The sequence below is a fragment of the Homo sapiens genome, chromosome 10 (genome assembly GCF_000001405.40).
Source record: "Homo sapiens chromosome 10, GRCh38.p14 Primary Assembly".
Taxonomy (NCBI): Eukaryota; Metazoa; Chordata; class Mammalia; order Primates; family Hominidae; genus Homo; species Homo sapiens.
Window position 1 is genome coordinate 32,984,907 of NC_000010.11, and position 26,884 is coordinate 33,011,790.

At 40.4% G+C, this 26,884-nt stretch overlaps 1 long non-coding RNA gene across 1 annotated transcript in view, besides 1 other annotated feature; it reads left to right on the forward strand.

Moving 5' to 3' along the window:
- ITGB1-DT (ITGB1 divergent transcript) overlaps positions 1–26,884 on the forward strand; it is a 99,552-nt gene that overhangs the window by 2,356 nt on the left and 70,312 nt on the right. Inside the window, exon 2 of the long non-coding RNA NR_184020.1 lies at positions 717–851. This is a non-coding gene — a long non-coding RNA (ITGB1 divergent transcript). The remainder of the gene's footprint in view (positions 1–716; positions 852–26,884) is intronic.
- Positions 10,469–10,969: an enhancer, noted in NCBI's record as "H3K27ac-H3K4me1 hESC enhancer chr10:33284303-33284803 (GRCh37/hg19 assembly coordinates)". NCBI's record gives its function as "activates a minimal SCP1, AML or CMV promoter by ChIP-STARR-seq in primed H9 embryonic stem cells {active_cell/tissue: H9 hESC(primed)}" and the evidence as "EXISTENCE:reporter gene assay evidence [ECO:0000049][PMID:30033119]".

Below are 26,884 nucleotides of genomic sequence, written 5' to 3' on the forward strand. Positions count from 1 at the left end.
ATCCCACCACTTTGGGAGGCCAAGGTGGGCAGATCACGAGGTCAGGAGTTCGGGACCAGCCTGACCAACATGGCAAATCCCCGTATCCACTAAAATATAAAAAATTAGCCAGGCGTGGTGGCGGATGCCTGTAATCCCAGCTACTCGGGAGGCTGAGGCAGGAGAATTGCTTGAACATGGGAGGCGGAGGTTGCAGTGAGCCAAGATCGCACCATTGCACTCCAGCCTGGGCAATGAGAGCAAGACTGTATCACAAAAAAAAAAAAAAAAAAGCCACAATATTTATTGTCTCTTCCATGCATGATGCTTTACAAATACGTCATCTCCTTTCATCATCACAATTGTGAAAGTAGGTAGTATTATCTTCATTTTGTAGAGGTAAGAAGTGAAGCTCAAACGTGCACAGAAGTAATAAATATTGGACCTGTGATTTTAATGTACAGCTGGCATTAAATGTCGTGTGCAACACCTCTCACAGATGAGCTTACTGGAAGTGAAAATCAGAACATCAGAGCCAAAGAAAGGATTCTGACAAAAAGCTGTTGTGATTGTAAGTGACAGGAACCCAACTCGAAGTACTTAAGCAAAAATGGAAATTTATTGCCTTAGGTAGCTAGAAAGGAATGGAGTGAAACCAGCAAAAGGCTTGACTGTGCCTCGGGTGAAGGAAGGTGTAGACTGTACAAGAGGTATTGAAGCATCTTTTTCCACCTTAGGAGACAGCTTCCCAAGGCTGGAAAGAGGGGAGTGCGGAACATGCCTCCACCATACCACTGCCCACCTCCTGTGACCTCTGCAGCAAAACCTGAAGCCCCAAAGAGGCAGCTTCTCAAAGTAAAAGTGGAATGAAGGTCAGGTTGGTCTAAAAACCCATCCAACAATTTGTGGAAAGGGTTTACATCATTTTGTTATTTGTATGTCATTGCTTTTTGCATCATATTGTTTGTCCTTACAAAACAAATCTGGACACAGCAAGTTGTTCATTCGCAGAGAAAGAAAGCTTACTCACACTTCCTGTCATCCAGCAGCAAAGAATACTGACCACAGAGTGACCTTTAAGTGTAAGGCTTTAATGAGTATTAGGCTGAATGCCTGTTTTCCAACCTGGTGCAAAATATTTATATTTTAGAAATTGTGATTTTTAACATTACTGCAAGAAAGAGGGGCTTCTATTTCCTTTTTCCTCTATTTAGTCCCTAGATTAAGAATTGGCAATTTTTTTCTACAAAGGACCAAATTGTAAATATCTTTGACTTTGCAAACCATGTGATCTCTGTTGCAACTGCTCAACTGCCTTTGTCTTGCAAAAGCAGCTGTGGATGATATGTATGCAAATAAACATGGCTGTGTTCCAATAAAACTTTATTTTCAAAAACGGGAAGTCAGCCAGATTTTGTTCGCAGGTCTTGGTTTGCCCTAGATCACTGTTTTTTCCCCCCGAGTTTAAAATCATCATTTTTTTGTTGGTTTTAAACCCATGCCAGAGCAAGAGAACTTCACAATTTTCTATGGGTATACTGTGTTTTAGTTATTTGGATGATTGTCCAAAGAATCAGTCCACAATAGGAATTATTGTTACCTGTTTTGTGTTTCCGTTGGTTCCAGAGAGGAATAATCTTATCAAGTCATGTAGGTTAAAAAATTAAAATTAGTAAAACTATAGCAATAGAAAAATAAATTTAATGTTTTTAAACCTTGCATTTAAAAGGTAAATTTGGCGGGGGGCGGTGACTCACACCTGTAATCCCAGCATTTTGGGAGGCTGAGGCTGCTGGATCGCTTGAGCCCAGGAGTTCACGACCAGCCTGCACAACATGGCAATACCCCATCTCTACAAAAAAATACAAAAATTAGCTGAGCATGGTGGCGCACACCTGTAACTACCTTGAGGGGCTGAGGTGGGAGGACCCCTTGAGCCTGGGAAGTCAAGGCTGCAGTGAGCCGAGATGGTGCCACTGTACTCCAGCCTGGGTGGTAGGGTGAGACCTTGTCTCAAAAATAAATAAATAAATAAAATAAACGGTAAATTTGATTAAGAAAAAGAAAGATGCAAAGTGAACTGTGAGTAGATGGAGGGATCATAAATTTGGGGGACCAATAAATATTTTCCTCACTGTGGTGGGGAAATTGATAGGTGAAATAATAGAGTAGCTGTTATTTTAAGTCTGTAGGAATTTTTGCCCAATGACAAATGTGGAATTCAAAACCCGTTTATAGGTTGTGCCTGACTAGTTTTCTTTTTCTTTTCTGATTAATAACAATGTATTATTATATGTTTAAAAAATCTGGACTTACATAGCATCTTAATAATTGCTCATATACAGCATTAAATGCACAGCTGTCTTATTTAAACTTAAAAAGAAACTCCATTTTGGTGATAGCTATTATCATCTCTTATAGCATGACCAAAAAGCATCCTCAGAAATATAAGCCTACCTCACATGTACATGGTAACCTTGGAAATTAGGGTGTGTCGGCATTATTATTCTTACTTTCAGATATAAAACAGCATGGAGACTGATTTTTCCCAGGTCATATGTCTAGTGACCTGCAGATTTTTGGACCCCAAGTCCACATTCTTATACTACACCACAGTTACCAAATTGCCTTTGTTGACATGTAGACTTTTCAATTTGCAATTGCTTTACACATTTAAAAAAATTGTGAATAAAAGAACAAACTATTTCAGTTTTCAGTTGCAACTTACAGAACAATTAAATCATAACAAAAACATAGTATGTGTTTTGGGTGTATCACTTAAATGAGTAGAATAAAGGGATAGAAATCAATATGTATGTGGACTTGTTCTTCTTTTCTTTTTCTTTCTTTTTTTTTTTTTTTTAAATTTGAGATAGGGTCTTGCTCTGTCACCCAGGCTGGAGTGTAGTGGTGCCATCACTGCTCACTGCAGCCTCAACCTCCCAGCCTCAAGTGATCCTCCCACCTCAGCCTCTGGAGTAGCTAAGGACTACAGGCACGTATGCGACCACGCCTTGCTAATTTTTTTTGTATTTCTTGTAGAGTCGGGGTTTCACCATGTTGCCCGGCCTGGTCTCGAACTCCTGGCCTCAAGTCTCTCTGGCTCAGCCTTCCAAAGTGCCAGGATAACAGGCGTGAACCACGACACCCAGCTTGCTTTGTGTACTTCTAGGGGCTCAGGTGAACCACATGAGTTCCTGGATGTGCTTCCATGTTTCACAGTGAATTCATGTTTTTGGTCCAATCATGACCATTTAGACTGTTTAAGAAGGCTGTGTACCAGCTTTAATATTGTATTTTATGATATTAGTGATCCCTGAATTTTATTTGAAAAAATATTATTTTACTGAGTGATTTAGTAGGCTTGATCATTTTCCTTGCAGCTTTCATATTTTGTGACACACTGATTTAAGAATCAAGTCTATATCTGAATGTGAAAAATCTGCAATGAGGATAGCAAACAATTATATTGTTTTAATAGAAAAATTATTTGATAATTTCCATGTATTGATGATTTCAGTAGAATCTATTCTGCATTTAACCAACAATCAGTAGTTCCCAAGCTATTCCGTAGTTTTAGCTTTAACACATAGTACATGCTTAATAAACATTAGCTGAATGAATGAATGAATGAATGACTAAAGACTTTCAGGACCTGGAAGGGAGGATGTAAAGAACCCAGGGCCAAGTGTCATGCAAGCACTGGAGCATCTAGATCCCCTCCGGACACCAGCTTCCTTTCCCACAACCCAAATGTTCTTTTCCTTTTATGAATTTTCTTTAATCGTGACAAAATATATATAATATAAAATGTATCATTTTAACTGTTTGTAAATGTACAGTTTGGTGTTATTCAGTACATTCACATTGTTGCACAACCATCACCACCAACTATCTCCAGAGCTTTTTCTTCCTCCCCAACTGACATCCTGTACTCATTAATCAATAACTCTCCATTCACCCTCCCCCGAGGGAGACTATTCTTGTTATTCTCTGTCTTTTTTTTTTTTTTTTTAATAGCTGCCATTCTAAGGGTATGGCCTAATTAGTTTTTAACTGGGTGAGAAGATGAAGAAAAAAGAGCAAATGAGCATGAGAATCCAGTAACAACCAAGCAGAACCGTTCTACTTTTGTCTCTCTGAATGTGACACTCTAGGTACCTTGTATAAATGGAACGATACAACATTTCCCCTTCTGTGTCTGGCTGATTTCACTTGGCATAATGTCTTCAAGGTTTCATCAACATTGTAGCATGTGTAAGACTTTTAATTCCTATTTTTTTTTTTTTTTTTTGAGGCAGAGTCTCACTCCGTCACCCAGGCTGGAGTGCAGTGGCGCCATCTCGGCTCACCGCAACCTCCACCTCCTAAGTTCAAGGGATTCTCCTGCCTCAGCCTCCCGAGTAGCTGGGATTGCAGGTTCCCACCACCATGCCTGGCTAATTTTTGTATTTTTAGTGGAGATGGGGTTTCACCATGTTTGCCAGTCTGGTCTCAAACTCCTGGCCTCAAGTAACCCACCCACCTTGGCCTCCCAAAGTGCTGGGATTATAGGCGTGAGCCACCATGCCTGGTCCTTCATTCCTTTCTAAAGCTGAATGACACCCCACTATGTGCCATTGCATGTATGTACCACATTTTGCTTATCCATTAATCCATCAGTGGACATTTGGGTTGTCTCCACCTTTTGGCTATTGTGAATGATGCTGCTATGAACATGGATGTAGAAATATCTGCTTGAACCCCTGCTTTCAATTCTTTTGGGAATATACCCAGAAGTGCCATTGCTGGATCTATGATAATTCTGTTTAACTTTCTGAAGAACTGCCATACTGTTTTTTTGTTTGTTTTGTTTTTGTTTCTTGAGACAGAGTCTGGCTCTGTCGCCCAGGCTGGAGTGCAGTGGCGCCATCTCAGCTCACTGCAACCTCTGTCTCCCACGTACAAATGATTTTCCTGCCTCAGCCTCCCCAGTAGCTGGGACTACAGGCGCGCTTCACCTCACCCAGATAATTTTTGTAGTTTTAGTAGAGACGGGGTTTCACCATGTTGCCCAAGTTGGTCTTGATCTCCTGGGGTCAAGCCATCCACCTGCTTTGGCCTCTCAAAATGCTGATATTACAGGTGTGAGCCACCATGCCCAGCCTGCCATATGTTTTTGTTGTTGTTGTTGTTGTTGTTTACTGTGGCTGCTGTTGTTTACATTTTCACCAGTAATGCGCAGGGGTACTGATTTCTCTACATCCTCATCAACACTTGCTATTCTCTGTTTTGTTTGTTTTTTTTCTTAAGAGTTGCCATTCTAAGGGTATGACCTAATTAGTTTTTAACTGGGTGAGAAGATGAAGAAAAAAGAGAGCAAATGAGCATGAGAATCCAGTAACAACCAAGCAGAACTAAAGACTCAAGACTTTCTATAAGCAGCCATGGACTATCCCTTTGCCTTGGCCTGTTATGGTTATTTCTGAAGCAGTGAGATCTCAATACACTAATAAGAAAACAGAGGCACACACCAGTTATGTTTTATGTCAACTAGGTTATGACTTCAAACTGTTATTCTCTGGAGTCATAAATAGAGCCTTTGGGTGAAACGACCTTATAAAAAGTCTTTTGGATACAATGTTAACTATTTTTTTGCATAGAATCCAGGATCACTTCCCAAATCCCTCTCCTTCACAAAGCATACTCTTTCTGAATATATATAGCAATTTATATATAATTCCAAATATATATGGCAGTTTAAGAACATACAATAAGGTCAAAGAATTCAGAAAAAAATAGAGGAAACTTAAGCATTTAGATCAGGATTATCACATGTGTGAATTGATATTACTTTATACTATTTTTCTCCAAAATCAGTGGAAACTCCCCAATTCCAGCATTTGTTAAGAGTCCAGTATTTAATCATTCCTTAAGTGCTCCCTTCCACTGCCCTCCCTGACACCTAAGCACACCCTTGGGTTCCCATGTCCTCAAAGTGCCATCTGCCTGACTACCACACCTGAGAGAGAACAGTACTCATATCAGAACAATTTAACCTTGCTATTGTTTCTCACTGACAAATGGAGTTTTGCTGCATATTTGTCATCCTCTGGCAACAGATGGTGCTGGTCTACTTCACAGCAATTCTGCTCCATCCTGGTGCCCTCATAATCCTCCTATAGGGAACAAGCTCAGCTGTGTGTGCTCCCAGCTCAAGTTCTCTCTTCAGTGAATACAACCATGCTCAGCAATTGCTCCCAGGACATAGACACTATACCCATCAGAATAGCTGCATTTGGAGGAACTTTTATAATAGCATCAGTTTTGTGCTAGTCCAAACCAGCTCTCTTCCACAAATTCTGGGGACTGGGCTTTAGTCTTGGTTACCAGTTTGGACACCCATTTCCTCAAGATAATTTTTGAAATAGACTTTATTTTTTAGAGCAGTTTTAAGTTCATAGCAAAATCAAGCAGAAAGTAGAGAGTTCCCATCTAGTGGTATACAGAATAGTTTACTGCTCCCAGAATCTTTCTATGTGCTGCCTATTCTTTCTCCCTCCCCACTATCTGCTGATCTTTTTATCTCTTTATAGTTCTGCCTTTCCTAGAATGTTGTGAAATTGCAATTATACAGTATTTAGCTTTTTTCGACTGGCTGCCTTCACTTAACATATGCATTTAAGTTTCTTCCCTGTCTTTGTTTCTTGAAACAGGATCTTGCTCTGTCACCCAGGCTGGAGTGTAGTGGCATGCTCTTGGCTCACTGCAACCTCCACCTCCTGGGTTCAAGCAATTCTCCTTCCTCAGCCTCCTGAGTAGCTGGGACTACAGGCGTGCACCACAACGCCTGGCTAATTTTTGTATTTTTAGTAGAGATGGGGTTTCACCATGTTGGCCAGGCTGGTCTTGAACTCCTGGCCTCAAGTGATTCACCCATCTCATCTTCCCAAAGTGCTGTGATTACAGGCATGAGCCACTGCACCCAGCTTGATAACTCTTTTTTTTGGTGTTTGTGGACCTAAATTTTAAACTTATTTGGGTAAATTCCAAGGAGTGCAATTGCTGGAATGTATGGTAAGAGTATGTTTAGTTTTCTAAGAAACTTCCAAACTGTCTTCCAAAGCGGCTGTACCATTTTGTATTCCTACCAGCAAGGAATGAAAGTTCCTGCTGCTTCACATCCTTACCAGCATTTAGAGTTATCTGTATTCTGAGTTTTGGTCATTCTAATAAGTGTATATAATGGTATCTCACTATTGTTTTTGGCAATTGACTAACAAAATTTGATGTTAAGCATCTTTAATATGTTTATTGGCCTTCTACATATCTTTTACGGTGAGGTATCTATTTGGATCTTTTGCCTACTTTTTTAACTAAGTTGTCTATTAGTCCATTCTCACGTGCTAATAAAAACATACCCGACACTGGGTAATTTGTAAAGGAAAAAAGTTTAATTGACTCACAGTTCAGCATGGCTGGGGAGACCTCACAATCATGGCAGAAGGCGAAGGAGGAGCAAAGGCACATATTACATGGCGGCAGGCAAAAGGCACGTCTTACGTGGCAGCAGGCAGGAGAGTGTGTGCACAGAAACTCCCCTTTATAAAACCATTAGCTCTTGTGAGATTTATTCACTATCTTGAGAGCAGCACAGGAAAGACTTACTCCCATGATTCAATTACCTCCCACTGGGTCCCTCCCACAACATGTGGGAATTATGGGAGCTACAATTCAAGATAAGATTTGGGTGGGGACACAGCCAAACCATATCAGGTTGTTTGTTTTCTTATTGTTGAGTTCCAAGAGTTCCTTGTATACATATTTTGGATAGCAGTCCTTTATCAGATAGGTCTTTGCAATTACTTTTCTCCCAGTCTGTTGCTTGTCTTCTCTCTACAGTGTCTTTTCCAGAGCACCTCAGGATAATTTTATTTCTGGAAACTCACATTTCTTTTATGCCACTGGGCCTTAGTTTGGACCAAAATTACTCTGTTTTAAAATTCCTTCCCCAGAGACTGCATTCTTCTTAAGCAGATTGAACCACATCCTCCCTAATAACCAATTTTGAATAGTAGGGACTCAGGTCAACTCTACTTAGTCACAGAAGGCTCTGTTATACCCAAATCTGATGACATGCTGTCTAGACACCCACATTTGCCTGAAAGGGTCACACAGATGACCCATGACAGGAAAAACATCAGACTAAAAAAACTTCTTGGGGCCAGGCACAGTAGCTTATGCTTCTAATCCCAGTACATTGGGAGGCTGAGGCGGGCAGATTGCTTGAGGCCAGGAGTTCCAGACCAGCTTGGCCAACATGATAAAACCCTGTCTCTACTAAAAATACAAAAATTAGCTGAGCATGCTGGCGTGCACCTGTAGTCTCAGCTACTGGGGAGGCTGAGATAGAAGAATTGCTTGAGGCGGAGGTTGCAGTGAGCTGAGATTCTACCACTGCACTCCAGTCTGGGCAACAGAGTGAGACTTCATCTTAGAAAAACAAAACAAAACAAAACAAAAACCTTCTTGATTAAAATATATAGTTCTAAAACTATTCTGTAGGACACTGTAATGATGGATATATATAATTATGCATTTGGCGAAACTTACAGAATGCATAACACAAGGAGTGAATCCTAAAGTCAACTATGGACTTTAATAATAATAATGTATCAATATTGGCTCATTAATTATAACAAATGCATCATACTAATTCAAGATGCTAGTAATAGGGAAAATTATGGATGTGTATGTGTGTGTAGTGGGTATATGGGAACGCTCTTTACTCTGTGACCAATTTTTCTGTTAATCTATAACTGTTCTAAAAAAATTCTATTAATTAAAATAAATACACTGCCTCAAATATATGTTTTATTTATATATCAATTTGGTTCATTTGTTTGAAGAACATTTTGCAATGGTGAAAACAACCATTAAGGTACTATCTTACATTTAATAAATGCTGATCAATTCATTAAGGTGAAAGTTTAATTATTTGAGCAATTAAATGTGGTATCTTTTTTTTTTTTTTTGAGACACTTGCTTTGAGTCTTGCTTTCTTTTTTGAGACACTTGCTTTGTCTCCCAGGCTGGGGTGCAGTGGCTTAATCCCGGCATACTGCAACCTCCGCCTCCTGGGTTCAAGTGATTCTCCTGCCTCAGCCTCCTGAGTAGCTGGGATTACAGGCATGCGCCACCACACCTGGCTAATTTTTGTATTTTTAGTAGAGACAGGGTTTCACCATGTTGGCCAGGCTGGTCTCGAACTCCTGATCTCATGATCCACCCACCTCAACCTCCCAAAGTGCTGAGATTACAGACTTGAGCCACCGCGCCCAGCCTAAATGTGGTATCTTAAACATACACCTTTGATATTCTGCCTCCCCACCATCCCCCTCCCCTACCAGTTCTTTATTAAAGCAACTCAACAAACATAGAAGGAGAAATTCTATCTGCCCTCCCCCACTAGTTCTTTATTAAAGCAACTCAACAAACATAGAAGGAGAAATTCTATCTGCCACTGGAAACTAAAAGGTATTCTTATACTTCTGAGATTGTGGAAGGCAAAATTCTTTTTTTTTTTTTTTAATTTAACTTTTAAGTCCAGGGGTACATGAGCAGGTTTGTTATATAGATAAACTTTGTGTCATAGGGGTTTGTTTTACAGATTATTTCATCACCCAGGTAGTATCCATTAGTTATTTTTCCTGATCCTCTACCTCCTCCCACTCTCCACCCTCTGATAGGCTCCAGTGTGTATTGTCACCCTCTATGTGTCCATGTGTTCTCATTTAGTTCCTACTTATAAGTGACAACATGCAGTATTTGGTTTTATGGTCCTGCATTAGTTTGCTAAGGATGATGGCCTCCAGCTCCATCCATGTTCCTGCAAAGGATATTATCTCATTCTTTTTTATGGCTGCATAGTATTCCACGATGTATATATACCACATTTTCTTTATCCAGTCTACCATTGATGTGCATTTAGGTTGATTCCATGTCTTTGCTGTTGTGAATAGGCCTGTGGTGAACATATGCATGCATGTGTTTTATGATGGGATGGTTTATAATCCTTTGGGAATACACCCAGTAATGGGATTGCTGGGTTGAAAGGTATTTCTGTTTTTAGGTCTTTGAGGAATCGCCACACTGTCTTCCACAATGGTTGAACTAATTTACACTCTCATCAACAGTGTACAAGCGTGGAAGGCAAAATTCTAAGCGGGTCCCAACTCCCAACCCCAGATGTACATAGCTTATTTGTGGAGGAAATGCGGGAGTGTGGAGGGAATCTTTGACTATCACGGGATAATTGCTCCATTAATTAGACTGCATCATGTGGCACATGGTGGTGGCATAATCACTCCCTTCATTGCATCACATTTTATGAGACTCCCATGGAGCAGATTGGAAGAAAGTTAGAAGTCAGAGATTTGCTTCTGCTGACCTGGAAAAGAGCAAATGAACTGCCTTTGAAGGCCATGTGGCAAGAGACTGCAAGTGGCCTTTAAGAACTGAGGGTAGTTCCTAGCAAGAACACAGGGATCTCGGTCATACAGTCGCAAGGAAGTGAATTCTGCCAGACACCCAAATGAGCTTGGAAGAGGACCTGGAGCTCCATATGAGAACTGTAGCTACGGCCAACACTGATTGTAGCCTTGCAGGGGATCCAGCTGTACCTGGACTCCTGGACCGTGGGAACCATGAGATAACAAATGCGTGCTGATTTAAGCCATTAAGTTGTGGTACTTTGTTACACAGCAAGAGAAAATGAATACAGAGGGTGTAGAGTGGAAATCACATTACAGGAAAGACCATGTGCTCTTGCTCACCTTTCCTGGGGAAGCCCGTGGACTCCGTGGTCAGAAGCCTTGTTTGAGGGGGTCCTCTCACTGCCCCAAATCTCCTCAGGCAGTCAGAGGAGCAGATTCAGTGAGACTTGTCACTCTGACCCACTGCTGCCTGCCTTGATGGAGAGGAATTAGCACAACCGGAAGAGGAGCCCTGTTCACCTGCTGTGTGTCCTCAGCCCTAGCCCCGCTGAGAAAAAGCTCAAGCCCTCTTGTTTATCAACTCTCAGACCATTTCCTTTGGGGAAATCCCAGAGCCAGAGCTCTGCAAGAACTTAAGAAACTTGTTCCAGCTAATAATACTAAATAAGCTAGACAATAATAACAAACCACAGATGGGTAGAACCGTCTGGTGAAAAGGAGGGCACCAGATTGACCACTTAGAACAAATGAACCTTTCTGAAACAGGAACCAGGAGAGAGTTTAGAAGAAATATTCTAATTCAGATTCACAATGGTTGGAGAGATCACTTTTAAAAATGTCTTTCATGAAAAAGAAATACTCTGAAATAATTCTTTGGAAAAAAACTTAAACCATAATTTTCAAAATATAAATCTAAATAACAACAGTGAATAATATAATAGACAATTCCAAACACTGAATGATATTGACAGAATGTGCACATAAGAGAGAGGTCATGAGAAAGGATAAGTATCTTGGAGAACAGATTTGGAAGTCCAATCTAAAAATAACGGGAGTTGTAAATGCAAGAAAAAAATGCAATGAAGAACAAACAATCAGTGAATAGTAGAAAATACTTCCCCAGAGCTGAAAAAAGGGCTGTGTCTGCAGATTGAAAAAGTTCACCAATTTATGATGGCCTTATTTTTCAAAAGCCCATTTCTAATGTTAAGAACTGTGAAGGCTCTGAGACTTAACCATAGTGGCAAGTTAACAAAGCAAAGGAGTCTAACTCACCATCCTAGATATTCAGGGATTCAGAAGTAAATGTATAGCAATGATGTGCACTTTTTGGATAATTACTTGTGAAAATACTCTAGTTAAATAAAAACAGAGTAAAAATGACAAAAAAGAAAAAACCCACAATATACAGGAGAGTAGTAACTAGTAAAACTTCAATGAAACATAGAATTAAATCTAAATAAATTTTCATAAGTGAAGTGTGATGCAATTAAAAATAATCTTGAAAAAGAAGAGGTATAAGAAAATAATTTTTTGAGCATCTGAAAAATTAGGCAGATTATTCACTAAAACCTTGAGGCAGGAGAGAGGGAGGGAGGAAAAAGTAAAAGCTTGCAAAAGGTCCCAATCACATTTCTTTGTTAAAATATAATAATAGGCTGGGCGTGGTGGCTCACATCTGTAATCCCAGCACTTTGGGAGGCTGAGGTGGGCAGATCCCGAGGTCAGGAGTTCAAGACCAGCCTGACGAACATGGTGAAACCCGGTCTCAAAAATACAAAAATTAGCTGGGCCTGGTGGTGCATGCCTGTAATCCCAGCTACTCAGGAGGCTGAGGCAACCGAATTGCTTGAACCTGGGAGGTGGAGGTTGCAGTGAGCCGAGATCACACCACTGAACTCTAGTCTGGGTGACAGAGCGAGATCTGTCTCAAAAAAAAAAAAAATATATATATATATATATATATATATATATATATACACATAAAATAATCTACTGGTAGAGTGAATACATAGAGCTGTCTAGTCCATTAAAAAAACACAAAAGAAGAAGATATGAAAACTGGTTTAATGAAAGATAAATCAAGAGGGGAGAAATGAAATAAACAATAGTAGGAGGCCAGAAATAGTGGCTCATGCCTGTAATCCCAGTATTTTGGGAGTCCAGGGAAGGAGGGTTGCTTGAGCCAGGAGTTTGAGGCCAGCCTGGGAAATATAGTGATACCCCATCTCTACAAAAAATAAAAATAAATTAGCTGGGCGTAATGGTGCATGCCTGTAGTGCCAGCAACTTGGAAGGCCGAGGTTGGAGGAGAATTGCTTGAGCCAGGGAGGCCAAGGCTGCTGTTAGCCATGATTGTACCACTGCAGTACAGCCTAGGTGACAGAGCAAGACTGTCTCAAAAAGAACAAAAAACACCAAAAAATAATGGTAGGAGAGGAGAAATTTCTGTCATGTTCCCTCATGCAAGCCTGCGTTTAACCAGGGCCTTCCCCACAGGGAAGAAGCTTATGGGTGTTAAAAGGGAAGAACTCATGGTTGACTCCATCTCACTCATCTTTTCTTTTCCTGCATTTGGTTGGCAAATGAACTCAGGGCTTGTCTCAGGCTGTTTGTACTGCTATAACAAAATACCACACATTGGGGCATTTGTGAAGAACAGAAATTTATTTTCTCACAGTTCCAGGGGCTAGGAAATTCAAGATCGAGGCGCCGGCAAGTTTGTTGTCTGATGAAGGCTGCTCTCGGCCTCCAAGATGGAGCCTTGTTGCCACATCCTCCAGTGGGGAAGAATGCTGTGTCCTCACATGGTGGAAGGTGGGAGAGCAAGAGAGCTGAATGCTGCCTGAAGTCTCCTTTATAAGGGCCTTTATCCCATTCATGAGGGAGGAGCCCTCATGACCCAATCACCTCTAATGGCCCTACTCCCACTTTTTAAAAGACAAACTTGTTTTTATTTTTTATTTTTTTTGAGATGGAGTTTCACTCTTGTTGCCCAGGCTGAAGTGCAATGGCGTAATCTCAGCTCACTGTAACCTCTGCCTCCTGGGTTTAAGCAATTCTCCTGCCTCAGCCTCTTGAGTAGCTGGTATTACAGGCATGTGCCACCACGCCCGGCTAATGTTTGTATTTTTAGTAGGTACGGGGTTTCTCCACGTCAGTCAGGCTGATCTTGCACTCCTCACCTCAGGTGATCCACCCTCCTTGCCCTCCCAAAGTGCTGGGATTACAGGCATGAGCCACTGCGCCTGGCCAAAAAATCAACTTTTATTCTAGGTTCAGGAGGTACATGTGCAGGTTTGTTACCTGGGTATGTTGCATGATGCTGAAGTTTGGGGTATGAAAGATCCTGTCACCCAGGTACTAAGCATAGTATCCAATAGTTAGTTAGCCAATCCTTACCCCCTGTCTTTGCCTACCACTTCTAATAGTCTCTAGTTTCTATTGTTGCCATTTTTATGTCCATGAGTATCCAACTTTTAGCTCCCACTTATAAGTGAGAATATGTGGTATTTGGTTTTTCTATTCTTGCATTGATTTGCTTTTTTTCTGGATATATACCCAGTAATGAGATTGCTGTGTTGAATAGTAGTTCTAAGTTTTTTAAGAAGTCTCCAAACTGCTTTCCATAGTGCCTGAACTCATTTACATTCCCACCAACAGTGTAAAGGAGTCCTGTTTCTCCACAGCCTTACCCATATCTGTTGTGTTTTTTTTTACTTTTTCATAATAGCCATTCTGACTGATGTGAGATGATATCTCATTGTGGTTTTGATTTGCATTTATCTGATGATTAGTGATGTGGAGCATTTTGTTACATGTTTGTTGGCTGCTTGTATGTCTTCTTTTGAAAATGGTTCATGTCTTTTGCCCATTTTTAAATGCGGTTATTTGTTTTTTGTTTGTTAAGTTGTTTAAGTTCCTTATAGATTCTGGATATTAGGCCTTTGTTGGATGCATAGTTTGCAAATATTTTCTCCCATTTGGGAGAAATCCGTTAATAATTTCTTTTGCTGTGTAGAAGCTTGTTAGTTTAATTAAGTCCCACTTGTCAATTTTTGTTTTTGTTGCATTTGCTTTTCAGGATTTAGTCATAAATTCTTTCCCAAGGCTGATGTCCAGAATGGTGTTTCCTAGGTTTTCTTCTACATTTCTTACAGTGTGAGGTCACAAACATTTAAGTCTTTAATCCACCTTGAGTTAATTTTTGTATATGGTGAAAGGTAGGAGTCCAGTTTTATTCTTCTGCATATAGCTAGCCAGTTATCCCAGCACCATTTATTGAATAGGGAGTTCTTTCCCCATTGCTTATTTTTGTCAACTTTGTCAAAGGTCAGATGGCTGTAGATGTGTGGCTTTATGTCTGAGTTCTTTATTGAGTTCCATTAGTGTATATGTCTGTTTTTGTACCAATACCATGCTGTTTTGGTTATTGCAGCCTTACAGTATAGTTTGAAGTACAGTAATGAATGTCTCTAGCTTTGTTCTTTTTGCTTAGAACAGCTTTGGCTATTCATGCTCTTTTTGGTTGCATATGCATTTTAGAATAGTTTTTCCTAATTCTGTGAAAAATGATGTTGGTAGTTTGAAAGGAATAGCATTGAATCTGTAGACTGCTTTGAGCAGTATGGCCATTTTAACAATATTGATTCTTCCAATCTATGAGCATGAAATGTTTTCCCATTTGTTTGTGTCATCTATGATTTCTTTTAGCACTGTTTTGTAGTTCTCTTTGTAGAGATCTTTCACCCCGTTGGGTAAGTGTATTCCTAGATATCTTATTTTTTTGGTGGCTATTGTAAATGGGATTGTGTTCTTGATTTGGCTCTCGGCTTGAACTTTATTGCTACATGGAAATGCTACTGATTTTCATATATTGACTTTGTATCCTGAAAATTTATTGAAGTTGTTTATCAGTTCCAGGAGGCTTTTTGTGGAGTCTTTAGGGTTTTTTAGTTATAGAATCATATTGTCAGCAAAGAGAGATAGTTGACTTCTTTTCCTATTTGGATGTCTTTTTCTTTCTCTTTCCTGATTGATCTGCTAGTACTTCCAGTACCATACTGAAGTACTGGCAGTAGTGAGACTGGACATTCTTGCCTTGTTCCAGTTCTCAAGAGGAATGCTTCCAGTTTTTGTCCATTCAGTATGATGTTGGCTGTGGGTTGTCATAGATAGTACTTATTATTTAGGTATGTTCCTTCTTACTTGAAGGTTTTTTGTCATGAAAGGATGTGGATTTTATTGCAAGCTTTTTCCACATGTAATGAAATGATCATGTGTATTTTTTTAGTTCTATTTATGTAGTAAATCATGTTTATTGATTGTGTATATTGAACCAACTTTTTATACCAAGAATGAAGCCTATTTGATCATGGTGAATTAACTTTTTGATGTGCTGCTGGATTCGTTTTGCTAGTATTTTGTTGAGGATTTTTGCATCTATGTTCAGCAGGGAGATTGGCCTATAGTTTTCTTTTTTTGTTGTGTCTTTGCCAGGTTTTGGTATCAGGGTGTTGCTAACTTCATACAGTGAGTTTGGGAAGAGTCTCACCTGCTCAATTTTTTGGAATAGTTTCCATATTATTAGTACTAGCTATTTTTGTACATCTGATAGAATTTGGCTGTGAATCTGTCTGGTCCAGTGCTTTCTTTGGTTGGTATTACTGCTTCAATTTTGGAATTCAATATTGGTCCGTTCAGGGTTTCAATTTCTTCCTGATTGAATCTTGGGAGGTTTTGTGTTTCCAGGAATTTATTAATTTCCTCTAGATTTTCTAGTTTTTGTGCATAGAGATGTTCATAACAGTCTCTGAGGATCTTTTGTATTTCTGTGAGATCAGTTGTAATGTCACCTTTGTCATTTCTGATTGTGCTTATTTGGATCTTTCACATGCTCATCCATAAAGCAGGTCTCAATAAATTCAAAAAAATTAAAATCATACTAACCATATTATCAGACCACAGTCAAATAAAAATAGAAATACCAAGAAGATCTCTTAAAACTGCACAATTACAGGAAAATTAAGCAACCTGCTCCTGAATGACTTTTGAGTAAGCAATAAAATTAAAGCAGAAATTTTAAATTCTCTGAAATAAATGAAAACAGAGACACAATATACCAAAATCTCTGGGATGCAGCAAAAGTAGTGTTAAAAGGACAGTTTATAGCGCTAATGCCTACCTCAAAAAGTTAGAAGGATCTCAAACTCACGATCTAACACCACCCCTGGCGGAACTAGAAAAACTAACCCCAGTGCTAGCAGGAGAAAAGAAAGAACAAAAATCAGAGCAGAGCTGAACAAAATTGAGACCCAAAAACTATACAAAGAATCAACAACATCTAAAATCAGTTCTTTGAAAAGATGAACATGATCAATAGACCACTAGCTATATTAACAAAGAAAAAAAAGACCCCACCTCTTAATACCACCACAATGACCATTAAATTTCAACACCTGAATTTTGGAGAAAACACATTCAAACCACTCTGTCTCTGCATTCGCTACTGAGCATGCTCATCATCGCATAGTGACCAGCTGGAAAGTGAGTGAGAATCCCAAGATTTAGATTTGGGCATGAGCCCAAAGGTGTCTCTTATACCTCATGTCTAAACCATAGTCTTGATACGAGCTTTTACAGAGCTCTGTATTTAGTGCTTGCATAGCTAATCACGGAGTGGACATTGTTTTTCATTTGCTGACTGTGGAAAGCCCATGGGAAAGAGAATGATGAGCTGGATCATGTGATACATCTGGGGAGGGGGTCTCTGACCATATTAGCGTAATGACTAAACTGTTAAAATGTGAACCATGTCTTAATAAGAGCAGCTTCAGCAGCACAAACAATGACAACAGTGACAACAAAGGGAAATGGACACTTATACAATGTAGTGTAGACTTTCACCCAGAAATTCCTCTTACATAACTTACCTTTGGGAAAATACTTGCTCATGTGCTTCATGAGTTTGCAAAATCCCAGTGATGTTTACTGCAGTGTTTTCTTTAATAGAGAAACACCACTGGGAGGAATCTTTCATCAAGAGACGACAGCTTAAATAAATTGTGGCATATTCAGTCAATGACTTCAGCCCATGAAAAGAATGAGATTGATCTCTATATAGTAATCATAAAATTCATTAGGTGAGGAAAGTACATTGTAGAACATTATCTATATTGCAGTCATGTGTATGTGTTTATCCTAAGAAAGAGGTCTGGCAGAGCTGGGCATGGTGGCTCAGGCTTGTAATCCAGCACTCTGGGAGGCCCAACCGGAAGATCTCTTCAGGCCAGGAGTTTGAGACCAGACTGCTCAACATAGTGAGACCTGCTGTCTCTACAAAAAAAAAAATAATAATAATAAGTAAAAATTAAAAAAAGAGATATGGCAGTATATTATCTCTGGTCTCTGGAGACTGTGGGACTATAAGGGGTATTCACACTTTTTTGTATTCCTGTATTGTTTGAATTTTCTACAATGAGAATGTTAAAAAATTAAAGATAGTCTACTTAATGATAAAGTAGAGTGTATTAGTCTGTTCTCGTGCTGCAAATAAAAACACACCCAAGACTGGTTAATTTATAAAGGAAAGAGGTTTAATGGACTCACAGTTCCACATGCATGGGGAGGCCTCACAATCATGGCGGAAGGCAAGGAGGGGCAAATCCATATTTTACATGGTGGCAGGCAAAGAGAAAATGAAAACCAAGCGAAAAGGGTTTCCCCTTATAAAACCATCAAATCTCGTGAGACTTATTCACTACCATGAGAACAGTATGGGGAAAACAGCCCCCATGATTCAACTATCTCCCACGGGGTCCCTCCCACAACATGTGGGAATTACAGGAGCTACAATTCAAGATGAGATTTGGGTGGGGACACAGCGAAACCATATCATACAGCAAGTCCTCGAATAATGTCTTTTTTCCTTTCATTCAACATCATTTCCTTATAATGTTGATGAGAAGAAAAAATTGATTCTCAGCCAGGGCCACTGTCTGTGTGGTGTGTGTGTTCTCCCCATGTCTGTGTGGGTTCTTTCCAGGTACTTGGGTTTCCTCCCACATCCCACAGATATGCACATTAAGTGAATTGTGTCTAAAATGGTCCAGGTGAGAGTGAGTGGGGGTGTATGTGAGTGCACCCCATGATGGGATGGCGTCCTGTTGTGAGTGGGCTCCCACCTTGGACCCTGAGTTTCTGGGAGAGGTTCTGGCCACCAGTGACCCGGAACTGGACTAAGCAGGCAAATCATGTTACTTGTTTTGATTCATCCTTCTTAAATGTTAAGTAGAGCTTACATGTATTTCAATGTTTAATATTAGAAGTGCTTTGGGTCTTTATTTGAAAGTTGGGTTATGTTTTTGTGATCAGAAATATGCCAGAGGATCTTAACTCTTGTTTGTATCAAGTAGCCTATGATCAAATTGATTTCATTATATATCCTTTCACCTAAAGCTGAAATTTTCAAGAACCTATTGACAACATTAAGTACGAAATCACTGTACCAGATTTTTTTTTTTGTACACAAAGAAAAGCCCACGGTGTAATTACTTGGTTTCTTCCATCACTTTTGTCATTAAGTCTTAGCAATGTCACAGAGGCATTTTCCTAGTTGGTTTATGTAGGATAGATACTCCTTTTTTTTTTCTTTTTGTTTATGGAATCTAAGAATAAGTTCATGGGCTCCCTCTGGTTATTTTGTAATGTTTAGATTCCTCACATTATATACCTATTATCATCTGATAACAATATATTATATGTAATTGTATATTGATCATCAGAGCATAATAGGCTGCGACAGAAAAGTCTAAAAAATGAGAAGATATATATTTCTTCCAAGTGATTCAAACAGCTTTATGGGAATAATCACAGAAAATATTAATAGAGTACTAAAAACTAAGTAGAGACAAATGCTATGATTATTTTATGAGTGAAAAAGTGAGGTTTGGGGAGCTATGTGCAATCCAGCAAAATGGAAGTCAAGAATAGGTGTAAAAGCTTTCCATTGTTTTCCAAACATTCATCCAAGTCCTTTCCCTCTTCCTGAAACATGTCTACTCAAAATTCTTGATAGTTCTATTTTTTTTCTTTTGCCAGTAACTATGATGTCACAAGCATCAAAACAATTACTATATACTTACTAATCATTTCAACTTGTCAGCAAGGTTGTCTTATGTCTGTGGCCTATATCTGCATTAAATTTTTTTTAACATTTATTTATTTATTTATTTAGAGACAGAGTTTCACTCTCGCCACTGAGGCTGGAGTGCAATGGCATGATCTCAGCTCGCTGCAACCTCCACCTCCCAGGTTCAAGCGATTCTCCCACCTCAGCCCACCGAGTAGCTGGGATTACAGGCGCCCACCACCAGGCCCAGCTAATTTTCATATTTTTGGTAGAGACGGGATTTCACCATGTTGGCCAGGCTGGTCTCGAAGTCCTGACCTCAGGTGATCTGCCCGCCTCAGCCTCCCAAAGTGCTGGGATTACAGGTGTAAGCCACTGTGCCGGCTACTTTTATTTTTTTAGAGATGGGGGTCTCACTCTGTCGCTCAGGCTGGAGTGCAGTGGCTGGATCATAGCTCACCGCAGCCTTCAACTCCTGGGCTCAAGGGATCTTCCTGCTTCAGCCTCCTGAGTAGCTTGGATTACAGAGGCATGCCACCAAGCCCGGCTAATTTTTAAAAAGTTTTACTTTTTGTAGACGGGGACTCACTTTGTTGCCCAGGCTGGTCTCAAAACTACTGTTTCACGTGATGCATTATTTTTTAACCTACAGCAGTGCTTCAAAGTCACAGAGATTTTTGTCCTAGATCATTAGCTAAACTGCTTCTATTTAGAATTTTTTGTTGTTGTTTTCTTAAAAAAAAAAATCTAGAAATAAAGGTAGGAACGTTTCTTTCCCCCCAAGGTTGAGAACAGTCTCTTTCATCTGTTTTCCAGAATTTTAATAACTGCTTCACAGCCTCTCCTGCGGGTTAGATGTCCTGAGTGTGCTGATGTTTGCAACACTTCCCTTTTCTGCTGTTTGAATCATCTGCAACTTCACAGGGTTAGTAATAAAGTCGGCTGACGGGCAGATCTCATCCTGACCCTGGCAATAGTCACTCTTACCTAAGGCAACTGACTCAGGCTTCTCCTGGGCTCTTTTTTTCACCCCACTAGGCAGATTTCTCTCTATATATGGTAATAATGCTCCCAAGCAGAGGCCGCTGGCTTCCCCAGGAAAACTGGAAAGTGAAATCACATACCAGAGACTTTGTGGTACTGTGGCCACGGTCGTTTTTCTGCTACTAAGGGTGAAAGTCGATTATTAAAGCAATTGCATCTTCCAAGAGCGATTTTCCCGCATCCCTCCGGGCTTGGGGGCTGCAGGGACCCAGCCGGCACACTCCGCACGCCCTGCGGATGACTCACTGCGTTTGCACTGCCGCAGGCGGGCTCGGTGGTGGTGGTGACGCGGCCCGGCAGCCCGGGAACGCAGGCGGGCTGCACCCTCTGGAAGCCAGCCCGGGTCTCCGCGCTGTCTTTCCCAACATCAAAAATGCTGCTCCTATTTGCATAGTGCTTGACCTTAATTGGAGTGCTGTTAGCGCCCGCGATTCTCACCAAAACTTAGTGAAGTGTGGGTCAGTGATCTAGGCCCTTTACTCGTCGGGGAAACTGAGGCTCAGATGAATGTCTTGCCCAAAGTCACACCTAAATTGCACAGCTTAGATGTAAATACATAATTGCAGGGGGAGGCACTGTGCTTATGTCGCTCCATGCTGCGTTTTAGGTTTTCTTTACAAGGGCCAAACACCATCTGCTTTCATGTAATAAACTTCCATTCCACTTTAAATATATAGAAAGCAGCAGAGGAAGTTCAAGGGAGGGCATGAGCAAGCATGTATGGGAGTCCTATTTGTGGAAACATCACTCCAAATCAGTTAGTTTTTTTCCTAGTGAAGTTGATCAAAAGAAAGCCCAAGTTATTCAGAATGCTGAGATTTAAGGAAATGTGTAAAAATATTTATTTCTATCTTTTTAATGTGATCTCATTAGCTTTAAATAGCTGGTCTTCCTTGCTTTTTTGGGAGAGGAAAACAACGTATCTTCAAAACAGTTACCTAAAAATAGTAGAAGCTTTACCAAGGGAGCCAGGCGTGATGGCTCATGGCTGTAATCCCAGCACTTTGGGAGGCAGACGTGGGCACATCACTTGAAGCCAAGAGTTCGAGATCAGCCTGGCCAACTTGGTGAAACCTCATCTCTACTAAAAATAGAAAAATAGGCCGGGCATGGTGGTGTGCACTTGTAATCCCAGCTACTCAGGAGGCTGAGGCGGGAGAATCGCTTGAACTCAGGAGGCTGAGGTTGCAGTGAGCTGAGATGGCGCCGCTGCACTCCAGCCTGGGCCACAGGGCGAGACTCTGTCTCAACAAACAAACAAAAAGAAACTTTACCAAGGGAGTTGTAAATAGAGGTTTGTTTTCAAATTTCATTTTCAAATGCAGCAATATTTATTTTGCTGTCGATATTGTTAGAAAGTGTGTAGGAGAAAACTGAATGTTGTTAGAATATTTAAAAATATGCAGCAGTCTCACAAGCTTCAGTAAGTTTTAAGTTCCTTTGGGTGGGTGTGATAGTTATGACATCAATTGAAGAATACTAACTGTAGAGTATGTTAGACAAAATACACACTCAATGGATGTTGATTAAAACCATTCTTACTCCACTGTTCGAAGCAATTCAATTGTTGTTGTTGTTTTTGTTTGTTTTTGAGATGGAGTCTTGCTCTGTCACCCAGGCTGGAGTGCAGTGGCGCAATCTCAGCTCAATGCAACCTCAGCCTCCGGGGTTCAAGCAATTCTCCTGCCTCAGCCTCCCAAGTAGCTGGAATTACAGGCACACACCACCACGCCGAGCTAATTTTTGTGTTTTTAGTAGAGAGACGATTTCACCATGTTGGCCAGGCTGGTCTTGAACTCCTGATCTCAGGTAATCCTCCTGCCTTGGCCTCCCAAAGTGCTGAGATTACAAGCGTGAGCACCATGCCCAGCTGAAATTCAATATTAGAGTCAGGTTTGAAGCCCACTGTCAGCATCATTGTACTGTTGATTTAAGTATAGTTCTATCCAGAAGAAGAATAAACTAGATGTCTCCGTAAAGTAACTTTTAGTCATGTTTCTCAGCCCTGTCTGGATTGCCAGGGCATTTCTAAAAGGGGCCAGGCACAGTGGCTCTTGCCTGTAATCCTAGCACCTTGGGAGGCCAAGGCAGGAGGATCACTTGAGGCCAGGAGTTGGAGACCATCCCGGGCAACATAGCGAGACCCCGTCTCTAAAATAAAGTAAAAATAGGGCCAGGCGCGGTGGCTCATGCCTGTAATCCCAGCACTTTGGGAGGCCGAGGTGGGCGGATCACCTGAGGTCAGGAGCTTAAGACCAGCCTGGCCAACGTGGTGAAACCCCATCTCTACTAAAAATACAAAAAATTAGCTGGCTGGGCATGTGACGGGCCCCTGTAATCCCAGCTGCTTAGGAGGCTGAGGCAGGAGAATCGCTTGAACTCAGGAGGCCAAGTTTGCAGTGAGCAGAGATTGCGCCATTGCACTCCAGACTGGGCAACAAGGGCAACAAGAGAGAAACTCTGTCTCAAAAAATAAATAAAATAAAATAAAATAAAATAAAATAAAATAAAATAAAATAAAATAAAACAAAATAAAATAAAATAAATAAAATAAAATATAAAATAAAATAAAATAAAATATAAAATAAAATAAAATAAAAAATAAAAATAAAATATAAAATAAAATAAATAAAATAATAAAATAAAATAAAATATAAAATAAAATATAAAATAAAATAAAATAATAAAATAAAATAAGCCAGATGTGGGGTTGTGCGCCTGCAGTCCCAGCTACTGGGGAGTCTGAGCTGAGAGGATCGCTTGAGCCTGGGAGGTTGAGGCTGCAGTGAGCCATGAGCCATGGTCGTGCCACTGTACTCCAGCCTGGGCAACAGAATGAGAATCTGTCTCAAAAAATAATTTTAGAAAAGGGTGGCAAAGGCTGTATGGCCTTTGGGAACAGTCTCATTGCTATTCACCTTGATCATGTCTTCCACCTGCACAATTCCCACTGCCTTTCCCACCGGCACTCCCCTTAACCCTGACTGCAAAAAATTAATGAATGAATTAATTAAAAATTAATACATTATAATCAATATAGTCTCACTTTATAACACTATCATTACCACCTTCATTATCTGTTCCTGCCACTATTTTTCACCTGGACAAAACACAAAGACGTCAATCAAGCAACAAAAAACTCCAAAAAAACCACACAAAAAGCAAAAGTACCCGTACCCCAACTCAGTAGTCTGAAAACCCTTCCGGCATTTTTCAGTGGACTACAGAGCGATATTGGGCATACCAATTGGTGTTTCCTTTTCTAAGTTCAGAAGACAAATAGAAATGTATGAGCCACAGTGCTTAGTTTTTCCATATTGTGGCTCTCATTTTTCCAGCGGGATGCAGAGAAAGTAGTTCTTGTCTGTCACCTAGTGGACAAAAATGGATTTGCGCCTTGCCACTATGCTCTGGTAGCTAAACTTCAGAAACCGCATTGATTCAAATAAAGATTGTTGGATTCTATGAGATGATTCTACTTTCCGAGCTTCAGAGCTCCACAGGTTGAAAAAAAACAAGATGATATAATGCTGAAGACTTGTTGCAAAACAGAACAGGAGTTGATGCAAAATCAAGATGGGAAGAAAACCACACTTACAGAACCACGTAATAAATAGCTGTGCTTGGTGAGGGAATATTATTGTCATTCATATGAGTCAATTGCAATCAGAATACTATGTGGAGCAATGGCTTTAAATGGCCCCATCCTCCAATAAAGCAAAGCAAACAAGAACGTATTGCTGACTTTCAAATGAGCAGAAGTTCTTGTAATCCCCCTGCTAAAAAATTTAAATGAACTTTAACCCAACTCTTTCCCTTGTATCTAGTAAGTCATCTAGTCTTACCAGTTTTTTTCTTACTGCTACTAAGAGTGAGCAATAGATGCTTTTCCATATCAGTTTCCATCTTAGCTCTGACCAGACTACACACTGTCATTAGATTCATCTTCCTTAAACTTGTCACTATTTTTTGAAAATACCCTAGAACTCAATTTCCCTTTCTTTCCAAATACCTCCTCCATCTGATTTCACTGTTACTTTAATCCAGTGTCATCCTACCCTTACATTTTCATTTCCCTGGCCCATTGAAGAAGTGTTGCTCATTGCAGCCTTTGAGTCTTCAGATGGGGTCCTGTCCTTCCCTCCCTTTGCCAGATGAAGCCTTTTCATCCTGTAGGATCCAGCCCAGCTGTTGCCCCTCCATGTCACTCTCCCTTGTCTGAGTAATCCTATGAGGGTTATAGGTTATATTCTATAACTGTGTGCTTGTGCAAATACTTGTCAAATGGTTTACTATTGATACACAGGCTTCAGTCTCATCTTATCCAAAATCTATTGGGAAATATTCCAGGCCAGATACCATTTCTTATCCCTTTTCAAGCCCTCATCGGGGTCTACATGTTTGGGAGCACTGTGAGCTCAGTAAGATACTTGTCGATTGGTTTTCTTTATCAGCTCATAATTCTGCAAGGAAGATGGAGCTGGTATTGTAATTCCTGATTTACAAACGAGGACGCTGAAGCCCAGAGCATTTTCAAGACTTGTTCTTGGGAATGGCAGTGCCAGGACAGGAGCTCTGGGTATTTCCTCCTTGTCTAGTCCCCTTCCTGGTGCACCCCACGGTCATCATACTGATAGAGTGATGCACTAAGCCTGTATTTATTTTCAGATCGATTTCTAGATAACGAGCACAAGCTCATATTGTGAGGAGCAGCTAGACAACAGATGATAATCAGGGTGTGTGCTTATGCAGCCTGGGTGGCAATTTCAGTTCTTTCTGGGTGGCGATGCCACACTTTCAGCCCACACCCATTTGTCCTTTTTGAAAACCACAAACGAGTGCTTGGGCATGTATGACATTCTCCGGCACAGCCCTCTGCACTCATCCAAATACCTGAACTGGCTTGTTTACTCCTTTAAACCACAGTGGCTCCAACTGCTTCCTGCCCTCCTAGCCTGCTGGAAGGTCTCCTGTGGTTTTGGAGCTCACAGGCACATGAGGAATAATTAAAAACCACTGCCATGCGAAAGGGTGTTTTAACGAGTTGTCAGTGAATGACCGGAGTCGGGAAGAATTTCTAGGTAGTTCCTCCTCTGGCCACAGGATGGATTCATTTTCCATCTGGAATTGCACCATGAAGCCTCCTTGGATGCTTTTGTTCTTCCATGCCTGGCTTGGGCCCTGAGGCTTGGGTGTGCTGGGCAGGAGCACAGGGTAGTAAAATGAAAATATCATGTCTACACTCAGGGAGTTCAGAGGGATGGCCTTGATGAAATCAGTCCATTAAATACCTAGAAAATAGATGTTAACAAGATTGTTATGCAATGCTACTGATTTAGAATGATCGTGTGTATTAATCAAACAAAAGCAGTAGAGAGAGGCATAAATTGATTGTTTAAGGAAAATCTAAATGCATAGTTGTAACAAGTGACTTTTATTTTTTCTTTCTGCTTTGAGACAGGGTCTTGCTCTGTCGCCCAGGCTAGAGTACAGTGTCTCTATCACAGTTCACTGTAGCCTTTATCTCCTTGGCTCAGGTGATCCTCCTGCCTCAGCCTCCTGAGTAGCTGGGACTACAGGTGTGCACCACCACACCTGGTTGATTTTGTACTTTTTGTAGAGGTGGGAGTCTCACTTTGTTGTCCAGGCTTGTCTCAAACTCTTGGGCTCAAGCTAGCCTCCTGACTCGACCTCCCAAAGTGCTGGGATTATAAGCCAGCCAGAAATGACTTTTATAATTGCACCTAGAAGTGTCATGAAATGCAATATTAGTACTTCTATTTTATGATAATACTATTGACATATAAAGAAGATTGATTTTAAAATTTACAAGAAAAAAAAAACCCCATTAAAAAGTGGGCAAAGGACATGAACAGACACTCCTCAAAAGAAGACATACATACGGCAAAAACATATGAGAAAAAGCTCAACATCACTGATCATTAGAGAAACGCAAATTGAAACCACAATAAGATACCATCTCATGCCAGTCAGAGTGGCTATTATTACAAAGCAAAAAACTAACAAACAAACAAACAACAGATGCTGGCAAGATTGGAAAGAAAAAGGAATGCTTTTACATTATTGGTGGGAATGTAAATTATTTCAACCATTGTGGAAGACAGTGTGGTGATTCCTCAAAGACCTAGAGGCAGAAATACCATTTGACCCAGCAATCCCATTACTGGGTATATACCCAAAGGAATATAAATCATTCTATTATAAAGATACATGCACGCGTGTGTTCACTGAAGCC